The sequence below is a fragment of the Homo sapiens genome, chromosome 12, assembly GCF_000001405.40.
Source record: "Homo sapiens chromosome 12, GRCh38.p14 Primary Assembly".
NCBI classification, from domain to species: Eukaryota; Metazoa; Chordata; class Mammalia; order Primates; family Hominidae; genus Homo; species Homo sapiens.
The window spans coordinates 123,334,844-123,348,155 of record NC_000012.12 but is presented as its reverse complement, the minus strand read 5'-3'; the positions used below and the strand labels follow the sequence as shown (position 1 = coordinate 123,348,155).

At 43.4% G+C, this 13,312-nt stretch overlaps 1 protein-coding gene across 2 annotated transcripts in view, besides 2 other annotated features; it reads left to right on the top strand.

Moving 5' to 3' along the window:
- Positions 1-13,312, top strand: part of SBNO1 (strawberry notch homolog 1) — a 75,739-nt gene that overhangs the window by 16,692 nt on the left and 45,735 nt on the right. The window contains exons 3-6 of one of the 2 annotated variants that reach the window (NM_018183.5): positions 23-127; positions 2,589-2,898; positions 7,068-7,168; positions 11,665-11,761. In NM_018183.5, coding sequence (NP_060653.3) covers positions 23-127; positions 2,589-2,898; positions 7,068-7,168; positions 11,665-11,761 — 613 coding nt within the window. Of the gene's footprint in view, positions 1-22; positions 128-2,585; positions 2,899-7,067; positions 7,169-11,664; positions 11,762-13,312 lie in introns of both variants that reach the window. The other variant, NM_001167856.3, reaches the window with a different exon arrangement.
- Positions 6,765-6,988: a silencer, noted in NCBI's record as "fragment chr12:123825715-123825938 (GRCh37/hg19 assembly coordinates)". NCBI's record gives its function as "represses an EF-1alpha promoter that drives an FKBP-Casp9 reporter gene in an ReSE screen in K562 erythroleukemia cells {active_cell/tissue: K562}" and the evidence as "EXISTENCE:reporter gene assay evidence [ECO:0000049][PMID:32094911]".
- Positions 12,792-12,841: a silencer, noted in NCBI's record as "silent region_5036". NCBI's record gives its function as "represses an Ori minimal core promoter by ATAC-STARR-seq in GM12878 lymphoblastoid cells {active_cell/tissue: GM12878}" and the evidence as "EXISTENCE:reporter gene assay evidence [ECO:0000049][PMID:35858748]".

The following is a 13,312-nucleotide window of genomic DNA, read 5'->3' as shown; positions in this document are numbered from 1 at the left end:
TCTGATGTTGTTTTCTCTCCAGTCAGTGCCACTTAGTGCATTAGAACTAGGTTTGGAGACCGAAGCAGCAGTTCCTGTTAAACAAGAACCAGAGACTGTACCTACTCCAGCACTATTAAATGTGAGGGTAAGAATGATTTAGATTCGTCGTTACTTCTAAAATAGTTTAGAAGTGTAGTGAGAAAACATGGCCGGGTGTGGTGATTCGCACCTGTAGTCTCAGCACTTTGAGAGGCTGAGGTAGGAGGATTGCTTGAGCCGAGGAATTCAAGACCAGCTTGAGCAAAATGGCAGGACCCCATCTCTATAAAAGAAGAAATGGGCTGGGCACAGTGGCTCATGCCTGTAATCCTGGCACTTTGGGAGGCCAAGGTGGGTGGATCACTTGAGGTCAGGAGTTCAAGACCAGCCTGGCCAACATGGTGAAACTCCATCTCTATCTCTACTAAAAATACAAAAATTAGCTTGGTGTGGTGGTGCACGCCTATAGTCATAGCTACTTGGGAGGCTGAGGCAGGAGAATCTCTTGAACCCAGGAAGTGGAGGAGGTTGCAGTGAGCAGAGACCAAGCCACTGCACTCCAGCCTGGGCGACAGAGTGAGACTTCATCTCAAAAAACATAAAAAAAGAGGCCAGGCACAGTGGCTCACGCCTGTAATCCCAACACTTTTGGAGGCCAGGGAGGGTGGATCACGAGGTCAGGAGATCGAGACCATCCTGGTTAACATGGTGAAACCCCGTCTCTACTAAAAATACAAAAAATTAGCCGGGTGTGGTGGCGGGCGCCTGTAGTCCCAGCTACTCGGGAGGCTGAGGCAGGAGAATGGCATGTACCCGGGAGGTAGAACTTGCAGTGAGCCGAGATGGGACCGCTGCACTCCAGCCTGGGTGACAGAGCGAGACTCTGTCTCAACAACAACAACAACAAAAAAGCATAATTAATAAAAAATAAAAAACTTTTTAGTGTGAAATAGTTTTCTCTCTCTAGTTCTGCTTTTTGCCGCTTTCCCAATATCCTACCCTTACCTCCTACTTTGCGACACATTTCTTTCATTCTTGTTTCTTTTTTTTTTTTTTTGAGACGGAGACTCGCTTTGTCGCCCAGGCTGGAGTGCAGTGGCACCATCTCGGCTCGCTGCAACCTCTGCCTCCTGGGTTCAAGCAATTCTTCTGCCTTAACCTTCCAAGCAGCTGGGACTATAGGCGCCCACCACCATGCCTGGCTAATTTTTGTATCTTTAGTAGAGACAGGGTTTTACCATGTTGGCCATGCTAGTCTTGAGCTCCTGACCTCAGGTAATGTGCCCATCTCAGCGTCCCAAAGTGCTGGGATTACAGATGTGAGCCACCGCTCCCAGCCCCACAAAGATATTTTTAAAAACAGATTTGTACGTGAAGATATATAACACGGTCATTGATGACAAGTCAAAATATTGAAAAAAGTTGTAAATAGTAGACTTTATTATTTTTATTCTTTTATTTTTTATTTTTTGAGATGGAGTCTCGCTCTGTCGCCCAGGTTGGAGTGCAGTGGCGCGATCTCGGCGCACTGCAACCTCCGCCTCCTGTGTTCAGGCCATTCTCCTGCCTCAGCCTCCCGAGTAGCTGGGACTATAGGCATCCGCCACCACGCCCGGCTAATTTTTTGTATTTTTAGTAGAGACGGGGTTTCACCGTGTTAGCCAGGATGGTCTCGATCTCCTGACCTCGTGATCCGCCCGCCTCAGCCTCCCAAAGTGCTGGGATTACAAGTGTGAGCCACCGCGCCCGGCCAATAGTAGACTCTTTATTAAAGACTCATTATTAAAGGAGTAGTGGAGAAATAGCAAATAGTGTTGAGGAGGAAAAAAGTGAAAATGTCATCAATCAAGGCATTAGAAACTTTCTGTTACTAGTCTTTTGGGGAGATTGGGGTGGGAGGGGTCTTGCTATTTTGCCAAGGCTGGTCTTAAAATCAAGTGAACCTCCTGTGTCACCCTCCCAATTAGCTGGAAATGCAGGTGCACACCACTGTGCCTGGCTTAGTCCTGTTATTTTCGGTTTGTGTGGGATAGTTCCATTTTATGCTTGCCATCCCTGACAGTTATAGAAAGGGTTATATTACAACTATACCTTCTTTTCGTCAAAGTTGTCCGTTTAACTTGGTAATTTGTAGCTAATCAAATCAGAAATGAAGTACTAATATTTAGGCAAGGCTGGGCACAGTGGCTCACGCCTGTAGTCCCAGCACTTTGGGAGGCTGAGGTGGGAGAATGGCATGAGCCCAGGAGTTTGAGACCAACCTGAGCAACATAGGGAGACTCTTATCTCTAAAAAAAATTTGCCGGGCATGGTGGTGTGCACCTGTAGTCCCAGCTACTTCAGAGGTTGAGGTACAAGAATCACTTGAGCCCAGTTGGGCAAGGCTGCAGTGAGCTATGATCGCACTTCAGCCTGCATGACAGAATGAGACTGCTTCAAAGAAAAAAAAAAAGCAATAATAAAAGTGCATTTTAGATTTTTAGTTGTCCTTCCAGGTTTGTGGATATAAGCTTCATTAGAGAATGAAGCATTTTTCAGTGGTGTGTTTTTTGTTTTCTATCTAGCAGCAGCCTCCATCTACTACAACATTTGTGCTGAATCAAATAAATCATCTTCCACCCTTGGGATCTACAATTGTAATGACTAAAACACCACCTGTAACAACCAACAGGCAAACCATCACTTTAACTAAGTTTATCCAGACTACTGCAAGCACACGCCCGTCAGTCTCAGCACCAACAGTACGAAATGCCATGACCTCTGCACCTTCAAAAGACCAAGTTCAGCTTAAAGATCTACTGAAAAATAATAGTCTTAATGAACTGATGAAACTAAAGCCACCTGCTAATATTGCTCAGCCAGTAGCAACAGCAGCTAGTAAGTCTGTTTTCAATAGTATCAACTTTCTCTCTCTGGTAAGCTATGTCAGCATGTTTTTTTAAACGATTTGCTTGGGTTTTTAAAGAACTGGCCATAAAAGGGTGTTATATGCATTATTTTGCGTACTTACAGTCTTTAACACAATTCAAGGGAAGCAAAAGTTTAGATGCCTTGGGTAGGTTGTTTAGCTTTGAAATGTGATTTCTAGGATCATCAGGTAGCTACGTTAGCAACATGAAATCTTACCAGTTTTATATATTATAGGTAGTCAGTTAACATTTTTCTTAATCCTTTACAAATCCTTTACAAATAGCTGTTTACTTGTGACTCATCTGTGGATCTTGTTTGAAAGCAGAATCTGATTCTCAGTAGAGCCCACAATTCTACATTTCTTTTTTCTTTTTTTGAGACGGATTTTCAGTCTGTCACCCAGACTGGAGTGCAGTGGTGCGATCTCTGCTCACTGCAGCTTCCGTCTCCTGGATTCAAGTGATTCTCCTGCCTCAGCCTCCCGAGTAGCTGGAATTAGAGGTGCTTGCCACCACACCTAGCTAATTTTTGTATTTTTAATAGAGACGGGGTTTCACTGTGTTGGCCAGGCTGGTCTCGAACTCCTGAGCTCAGGCAGTCTGCCCACCTTAGCCTCCCAAAGTGTTGTTGGGATTACAGGCGTGAGTACCATGCCCGGCCTGCTTGTGTTTTTATGAAATAGAGGGCTAAGAGCATTCTAAAAGAATGGGCGATAAGTGTTTATAGGAAGATGTAGAACTTTGTCTTAAGTGACAGATGTCATTAAAATTTTCAGATCATCTGGTTTTTATGTTTGGGTCCATACCACTGTGTCCTTGTGGCTGTAGTTTTTTGTCTTTTGGTTTTCGTTTTTTGGTTCTCCTCTCAAGGTCATTGTCCTGAACTGACTGCAACCTGGCAGTGAGATGCAAGTTGGGAAATCATTTTAGCTGTCTTAGGACTGATACCATTTTCTGCCGTGGAGTGCAGCACTGTGACCCTGACCTGGCTGAGGTGCAGGGCAGTTTCTGGAATCACTCGCAAGGGACTTGGGGATGGTCGACAGTTGGTGGAAGATGCTTCTCGTTACGGTCTTTGGATTTAATGAGGAAGCCTGCTTCTTATATGAGTGGCTTTCTGAGCATTGTACTCCTCACATCAGCATATGCCATCATAACTTAAAGGAGTGGATGTATGCCATTGTGAGGGAAGAATTTAGAGAACACAACAGAAAACGGGATAGATTTGGAGCTGACTGAACAAGATATCTAGTACAGTAAATTCTCCCACATTTAAGGTAGTGATTTTTAAAAGACAAATGCAGACATTTATCAGGCTGCACAGCAAGACTATCCATGTATGGAAGCCTGAGAAACTGTCAAGCTAGGTCAGGACTAAGAAACAAAGATGGGCCGGACGCGGTGGCTCATGCCTGTAATCCCAGCACGTTTGGAGCCCAAGGTGGGTGGATCACGAGGTCAGGAGTTCAAGACCAGCCTGGCCAAGATGGTGAAACTCCACCTCTACTAAAAATATGAAAATTAGCTGGGCATGATGATGGGCACCTGTAATTCCAGCTACTTGGGAGGCTGAGGCAGGGAATTGCTTGAACCCAGGAGGCAGAGGTTGCAGTCAGCTGAGATGGCGCCACTGCACTCCAGCCTGGGCGACAGAGCAAGACTCCATCTCAAAAAAAAAAAAAAAAAAAGATGGTAAGTGAATGCTGAAGACAAGCAAAGTTTTTTGTTGTAGGAGATGGTCCTCTTTTTACTGAAGGGGAAAAACATTGAAAATATGAAACTGCAGAAAGCAAGGTGTTGCATGTTCTACTTCTTATCTGTGTGGTTGTTGCCCCTTTGGGTTCTAACCTGTCACAATTTCTCTGGTCTTAAAACTAGGAGCTGATCACTGGCTCTTTCACAGTTAAAATAAACAAACCATGCCCCCAAATATCATCTCTGTTCTAGTTTCCTTGTTTAGTTAATACTTTATTTTTATTTTTTATTTTTTTGTGAGACGAAGTCTCATTCCATCGCCCAGGCTGGAGTGCAATGGCGCGACCTCGGCTTCCTGCAACCCCTGCCACTTGAATTCAAGTGATTCTCCTGCTTCAGCCTCCCAAATAGCTGGGATTACAGGCATGAGCCACCAAGCCTGGCTATTTTTAGTAGAGACAGGGTTTCACCATGTTGGCCATGCTGATCTTGAACTCCTGACCTCAAGTGATCAGCCCACCTCGGCCTCCCAAAGTTCTGGGATTACAGGCGTGAGCACCTGGCCTGTTAATACTTTAATTAGTTGTACTCGTTTTGGAGTCTAAGTGATAGTCCTCCCAAATACTCTTCATCTTTTGCTAGAATAGATGAAATGCTGATCAGCTCTCCTGATGTTAGCACTCTCTTCCCTAAAGGCAGTGATTTCCGCACCTCTATCTCAAGAATTCCAGGTACTGTGAGGACTTCAGGGATTCTTGGAGGCTGAAGGCTGGTTCCAGGGGTTCTGGACTGGATACCTCCCACCCCTATTCAGTCAAGTAGCTCTGCTGATTGATAAGTGGATTCTGAGATTTTATTGCTATATTTAAAAGAGTTTGAAAACCAGTGGTATAGAAGAAAGTGTTCATTGTTTAGATCTTTACTCTGGGAGCAGGAGGAAGTAAGGAGTTCCCAAATTGATTTTTCTTCTTCTAGAAATAATTATTTTGCCTTGAAAATTAGTAAGTACCACCAGATCACATGAAATTGATTCTGTTTGGGTGATAACCCCAGGTTTTGGGTTTTTTTGTTTTTTTTCTTTTTTGAGAGTCTTGATCTGTCGCCCAGGCTGGAGTGCAGTGGCGCGATCTCGGCTCATTGCAGGCTCTGCCTCCTGTTTTCATGCCATTCTCCTGCCTCAGCCTCCCTAGTAGCTGGGACTACAGGCGCCCGCCACCACGCCCAGCTAATTTTTTTTTGTATTTTTTTAAATTTTAATTAATTAATTAATTAATTTTTTTGAGACAGAGTTTTACTCTTGTTGCCCAGGCTGGAGTTCAATGATGCAATCTCAGCTCACTGCAGCCTCCGCCTCCCGGGTTCAAGCAGTTCTCTGCCTCAGCCTCCCAAGTAGCTGGGATTATGAGCATGCGCCACCATGCCCGGCTAATTTTGTATTTTTAGTAGAGACTGGGCCTCCTCGGCCTCCCAAAGTGCTGGGATTACAGGCGTGAGCCACTGCGCCGGCCTTGTTTATTTTTAATGAGTCAAATGAAGTGTCTCAAAGTAATGCTGGCTTTTGGGTATCTTTCTGATAAATAATTTTCAAGCTTCCCTTGCACACGTTCCTTTTGAGTTGTTTTCTAAAGTTAATTCTTTACTTCCATAAAGACACATGGGTTTACATGTTTTCATGCCTGTGCTTAATTTAAATTAGTAATAGAGGCCAGGTGCGGTGGCTCACGCCTGTAATCCCAGCACTTTGGGATGCCAAAGTGGGCAGATCACCTGAGGTTGGGAGTTCAAGACCAGCCTGACCAACATGGAGAAACTCCGTTTTTACTTAAAAAAAAAATTACAAAATTAGGCAGGCATGGTGGCGCATTCCTGTAATCCCAGCTACTTGGGGGTCTGAGGCAGGAGAATCGCTTGAACTCGGGAGGAGGAGGTTGCAGTCAGCTGAGATTGCGCCAACGCACTCCATCCTGGGCAACAAGAGTGAAACTCCAAAAATAAATAAATAAAAATAAATTAGTTATAGGCAGATTGACATTCTTTGGTTTTTGAAATATGTAAACTTCTGGGTTTTTTATTTTTATTTTTTTAGACAAAGTCTTGTTCTGTCACCCAGGCTGAAGTGCAGTGGTGCAATCTCGGCTCATTTCAACCTCCACCTCCCAGGTTCAAGCAATTCTCTGCCTCAGTCTCCCGAGTAGCTGGGATTACAGGTGCCCGCCACCACGCCCAGCTTGTTTCTGTATTTTTAGTAGAGATGCGGTTTCACAATCTTGGCCAGGCTGGTCTTGAACTCCTGACCTTGTAATTCACCCGCCTTGGTGTCCCAAAAATGCTGGGATTACAGGTGTGAGCCACCGCAGCAGCCTTAAACTTCTGGATTTTTAAATAATGGGAAAATAAGTTCAGAATTTTCTTCTAAATGTAATTTGACTTTTTCCTCCTCAGCTGATGTAAGCAATGGTACAGTAAAGAAAGAGTCTTCTAATAAAGAAGGAGCTAGAATGTGGATAAACGACATGAAGATGAGGAGTTTTTCCCCAACCATGGTGAGTTTCAAATAACTGTGTCTTTATTTTTGTGTAGTATGAGAGTGTACTCAACTAAAAGTGTTCTATATGGAACAACCCTCAGAAAGCTGTTTTTGGGTTGGGAAGAAGCTATACAGGCGTGGGAACTAATGGATATGCTTAAACCTCGCTGGAGTAATATAGATACTAACCAGGGTGGTTAAAACTTGCAGATTGATGGAGTGTGGCACTAACATGCAGTACTGATATCTTACTGTTAAAAATCTCATCTGAGCAGAAAAAAAGACAATGTGGGGTTAACGAAAAGTATTTGATAACTGTGTTCATTTTAGGACCGAACTTGAATAGAAAGCTCATAATGCATTGACAGATCATATAATGATCTGGTTATGAGTGATTCTTTTTTTTTTTTTTTTTTTTTTTTGAGACAGAGTCTTACTCTTATCGCCCAGGCTGGAGTGCAGTGGTGCTATCTTGGCTCACTGTAACCTCCACCTCCCAGGTTCAAGTGATTCTCCCACCTCAGCCTCTCAAGTAGCTGGGATTACAGGCATGTGCCACCATGCTTGGCTAATTTTTGTATTTTTAGTAGAAATGGGGTTTCACCATGTTGGCCAGGATGGTCTCGAACTCCTGACCTCAGGTAATCTGCCCGCCTCAGCCTCCGAAAGTGCTGAGATTACAGGCGTGAGCCACTGCACCCGGCCTGGTTAGAATTCTTAACATTTTGAAAATGCTGTATGCTTTGGATCAATTGATTCCATACATTTATTTAATAAATTCTCCATGTATAACATTGTTAATATGTAGTAGGTTTCTACAAGAAGTATATTTATTACATGATTCTACCTTCAGTAAGCAAAATTTGACAACCATCTGGATTAAGTAGTAATAATGAAAAGTACATCAAATGGTATGCAATGTGCTACTCACAATAAAGGTTAGGAATTTGGAGGAAGAGGTGACCTTCCTGAACTCTAGTGGCCTGGTGGACTTTATGGAGAGGGAATAATGGAGCTTGGGTTTTGAGTATGACGAGACTTTGAGGTGGGATATTAGGAAGGGAGCTAAAGGATTAATGGGCACAGAGGGGAGGTAGTGAGTATGTGCTTCGGTGAAAATAAGCCAGGAAGCTTAGCTTGTAGAAAGAAGTGGGAATAGTAGGTCTGGGCTCCATGGAGGGTCCTGAATTGAGGTTTTTATTGTTGTTGTTGTTTTTGAGATGGAGTCTTGCTCTGTTGACCAGGCTGGAGTGTAGTGGTGCAATCTTGGCTCACTGCAATCTCCGCCTCCCAGGTTCGAGCGATTCTTCTGCCTCAGCTTCCTGAGTAGGTGGGATTACAGGTGCCCACCACCAGCCCTGGCTAATTTTTGTGTTTTTAGTAGAGACGGGGTTTTACCACATTGGCCAGGCTGGTCTCGAATACCTGACCTCAAGTGATCCCTCCAGCTCGGCCTCCCAAAGTGCTGGGAGGCCAAGGTGCCCTGTGCTGAATTGAGTTTGAAGGACTTTGGACTTAGTCTAGCACCATTGAGCCAGTAGACATGGAGGGACCTGTTAGTGATTCAGGAGAAGTTGGGGTGCAGACTGAGTAAAGGGGTAGGGAAGACAGATTCGGGATGAGTAGGAGTAGGCAAAAGAGAGAGGTTGGAAAGTTGGTTAACCTAAGGGGGAAGTAAGAAGGGGTACTAGAGACCTTGCAGAGGGGATTGAAAAACGGAGAGGGGAAAGGAAAAAAAGAGATGACTGTACATAACGATACCAAAAGAATTTTGGGACTTGGTTCTAGAATATGGAATTGGAGACAGTGCAGCAAACTGTAGCTGAGGTTTTGAATGGGAACCAGGAGAACAATAGTGCTACTGGCGGTACCCAGTTTACTTAGTGATTGTCTACCAACAGCACTTGGAAGGTGATTTTTGGAAACTAAGAATGCATATTTCTTCAAGAAATGTTTTATGTGGTTCTCACATTTCCATTTCAGTCCATTATATACCAAAAGTTTTTTATTGGCTTAGCAGTTAAGTAACATCTCAGAGAGACTGCAAACTGATAGCCCATCAACCAAACTAGTCGGGGAGGGGGGGGGGGGCGTGTGTGTGTGTGTGTGTCGGGGTGTGTGTGTGTGTGTGTTTAGACGGTGTCTTGCTGTCACCCAGGCTGGAGGGCAGTGGTGCAATCTCAGCTCACTGCAACTTCTGCCTCCCAGGTTCAAGTGATTCTTCTGCCTCAGCCTCCTGAGCAGCTGGGATTACAGGCGCCCCCCACCACCACCACCACACCCAGATAATTTTTGTTTCTTTTATTTTGTTTATTTATTTTGAGATGGAGTCTCGCTCTGTCACAGGCTGGAGTGCATTGGTGCAGTCTTGGCTCACTGCAACCTCCCCTTCCCGGGCTCAAGCAATTCTCTTCCTCAGCCTCCCAAGTAGCTGGGATTACAGGCGCCCGCCACTACGCCCTGCTAATTTTCTTTTGTATTTTTTAATAGAGATGGGGTTTCACTACCTTGGCCAGGCTGGTCTTGAACTCCTGACCTCGTGATTCACCCGCCTCGGCCTCCCAAAGTGCTGGGATTTCAGGCGTGAGCCACTGTGCCTGGCCTGTATTTTTTAGTAGAGACGGGGTTTTGCCATGTTGGCCAGGCTGGTCTTGAACTCCTGACCTCAGGTGATCCGCCCACCCCTGCTTGCCCAAGTGCTGGGATTACAGGCGTGAGCCACCATGCCTGGCTGACAAATGTATTTTGTTTGGCCTTCATGGTATTTTGAAGAATTTTGAATTTGTTTGCTGACATATACAAATCCTGATTTCCCGGTTATTTTGAAAAATGGGAGTACCTGACAACCCCAGGCCCACGTTCCCCATCTAGGAAGATTTGCCCAGCGTTGTGTAGTGAACATCTACATGGTATGTTGGGCAAACATTTCCCAGGTACCGTGGTCTCCCTCACCCGAGTTATCTCTTTGACCTAAATTTGATGTCAGTTGCTATCTCACATGCACCTGGCTTCAAGGTATTACTTGTTTGTTCCCTGGATATAGTGGTCCTTCAGTATTACCAACTTATCCTTCAGTTATTCAATTATCATCAATTTTATGATGATTTTAAAAAACTATAGGTAGGAGAATAAAGGATGGAGGGAGAAAGGAGGCTGCTTATCTTAACATAGAATACATTTTTATTTTATAAGCGAGGACAGGGTTAGACGGTGGGGGTGGAGAGGACCCAGAATTTAGGTAATTTGCCTAAATTAAAAAACAGACTACACAATTAAATAACAGCAGAATTGGGATTCAAATCTATTCATTTGGCCAGTCCTGTTTTGTCTCGAATTTCCGAAATTGAGTTTTATTTTAGCATAATTTCTGAGAACATTCCAAGTTTTTAGATTTTATCTAAAGACTCCATAGGTTAATGTTGATTGGATGGTTATGTCCCACTTCTTTTCCTTTTCACGTTTGTTATCTATTTGCAACCATATTCTGCTCTAGATTCTGAGGTAAATGAAAAAAGAGCCTGTCCTTCACTTTTAATGCTGTCTCGATCTTGCCTTAATTTGCCTTAACCTGTAGGTTTTTGTTGTCCTCTTCCCTTGGCATACTGAGTTTCACAACAGTTTCTTTATATTCTTCCCTGAACAAGTGCATGCTAATAAACAGTTGCCTAATGATTGTACTGGTAGTGAAAAGTGGCTTATTCCGGATCTTCCTTTATTCCTTTAAGATCCTGTAGAGGAAGAAAAGGGAAGCATAACCGTGGTGACCATTCACTTGGTTTGCCGAGGACAGTCTGGGTTTACTTCTGTTTTCTCAGTGTAATCCTCAATAGCTCCCCAACTCAAATGTGCCAGGGTTTGGAAAATAAATTATATGGCCATCTTATATATGATCACGATTGCATCTGTGGAGACACAGAAGTCTGAAGTAAATTTTTCTGTTCTTCATAAGGGCCTCTAAAATAAACTCCAGTCTTCTGGGGTTTTGGTTTTAGGATATGCGGGAAAGCAGGCAAATAGAAGTGAACTGAGAAGAAGGTGGAATGTGAGACTGAGAGGCCTTGCTTGTGGTGATGCAGGGTCCTTTGGGGCCAATCCACCTTTGCTAGGGTTCACTCCAGTTTTGCACTAGGAAGAGCCAGACACACTGCTTGCTCTTTCTCCTGGAACTAGAATGAAGGCGAAGTCTGAGTGCAGAGAGAGTTCTGGGCATCAAGGAGGGGTGATAGGCAGTATTGAAGGGGAAAGTAGCTTGACACGATGGTGGCCGGAAGGACGTGGAGTCTTGTGACCCATTTGTGGGTAAGAGACAGAGTAGGACCTCATTGTCTGTGCTCATTATTGGAGAAGCAGGAAAGCCACGAAGTGTGGCCCAGATTTTAGGGAGTATTGAGGTGGCGCGTCATGTTTCCATGATGGAAATTTGTAGGTGTTCCTACAAGAGAGTTTTTCTGTGTGTTGGCTGGGCGTCTGGTCCCTGGATTTGGGATTGATTGTGCTCTTTCTGTGTTGCAGAAGGTTCCTGTTGTAAAAGAAGATGATGAACCAGAGGAAGAAGATGAAGAAGAAATGGGTCATGCAGAAACCTATGCAGAATACATGCCAATAAAATGTATGTCTTCGGGATTTGTCAGATATTTACATCAAAGTTTTCCTGTGGTTTCTTTGGTTCTTTTTGTTTTGTTTTTTTCCATATAAATTTAGAATCTTGCTTTAGGTCAAAGTCTTTTAAAACCAAAACTAAAGAAGCTTGGATTTTATTTTAATTTTGTTCATAGGAGTAGTGATTATAAAAATCAAAGGTAATTGTAAAGATATATAAAGCTAAGATATTTAATACAACTTGTCTAAAATTGTAAAAACATTGAAATTATAAAAATAATTGTGCTATTTGAATTCCATAGTTTTTGTTTCTCCCTTTTGTATAACATGGTTCTTTTTTTAGCAGCCACTGTATGAAGTCGAAAATTAGGTTTTTAATATTTGCATAAAATTTTCACTTTTTCATTACAGGAAACAAATCTATGTCTAGAATTTGTCTTTCATGTAGTCTTGGTTTCTATAAAAAACCACTAATAATACCATTTGAATTGAACTACAATTCTCTTTTTATCAACTACTGATAGACTCAAGATTCCATCCTTTTCTGCTCACCTACAATGAATTTTAGAAGTCCTATCTGAAATTCTGTTTTTCTTATTCCAATAATCATTTTGCAAAAGGATTGAAAGAGTTTATGGCCCTTTAAACCAGAGGACAGCAAACTAAATCTGGACCACTCGCTTTTTTATAGTAAATAAGGTTTTATTGGAACATAGACATGTTTATTGGTTTACTTATTATCTATGGCTGCGTTGACACTACAGCAGCAATGTTAAGTAGTTGTACAAGAGACAGGATGGCCTAAAACGGCAAAATCATTCTCTGACCCTTTACAGAAAAAGCTTCCAGATCATTATTTTAATGTATTCATGTTGTACATTTTGGGGACTTGGTTGTTAAATTTTATAGCCAAGTTGTCTTTCGAATACTTTTCAAAGTAAAATATGTTCTTTTTAAGACGGGGTCTGGCTCTTTACTCAGTCTGGAGTGCAGTGGCATGCTCTTGCCTCACTGCAACCTCCACCTCCCAGGATCCCTCCTGGATTCTAGCAATTCTCGTGCTTCAGCCTCTTGAGTAGCTAGGATTACAGGTGTGCACCATCATGCCTGGCTGATTTTTGTATTTTTAGTAGAGATGGGGTTTCACCGTGTTGGCCAGGCTGGTCTCGAATGCCTGACCTCAGGAGATCCACCCACCTTGGCCTCCCAGCTGCTGAGATTACAGGCGTGAGCCACCATGCCCAGCCAGGCAGTGGCGCAATCTTAGCTCACTGCAGCCTTAGCCTACAAGGCTCAAGCAATCCTCCTGTCTCAGACTCCTGAATAGCTCGGACCACAGGTCCCACCACCATGCCCAGCTAATTTTTGGATTTTAATTGTAGAGATGAGGGTCTCACTATATTGCCAAGGCTGGTCTTGAACTCTTGGCCTCAAATGATACTCCTGCTTTGGCCTCCCAAAGTGCTGAGATTACAAGCATGAACCTTCATGCCTAGCCTCAAAATAAAATTGTATTGCAAACTTTTGTTTTACTGAATGAATGCTTGAAGTAACTGAACTC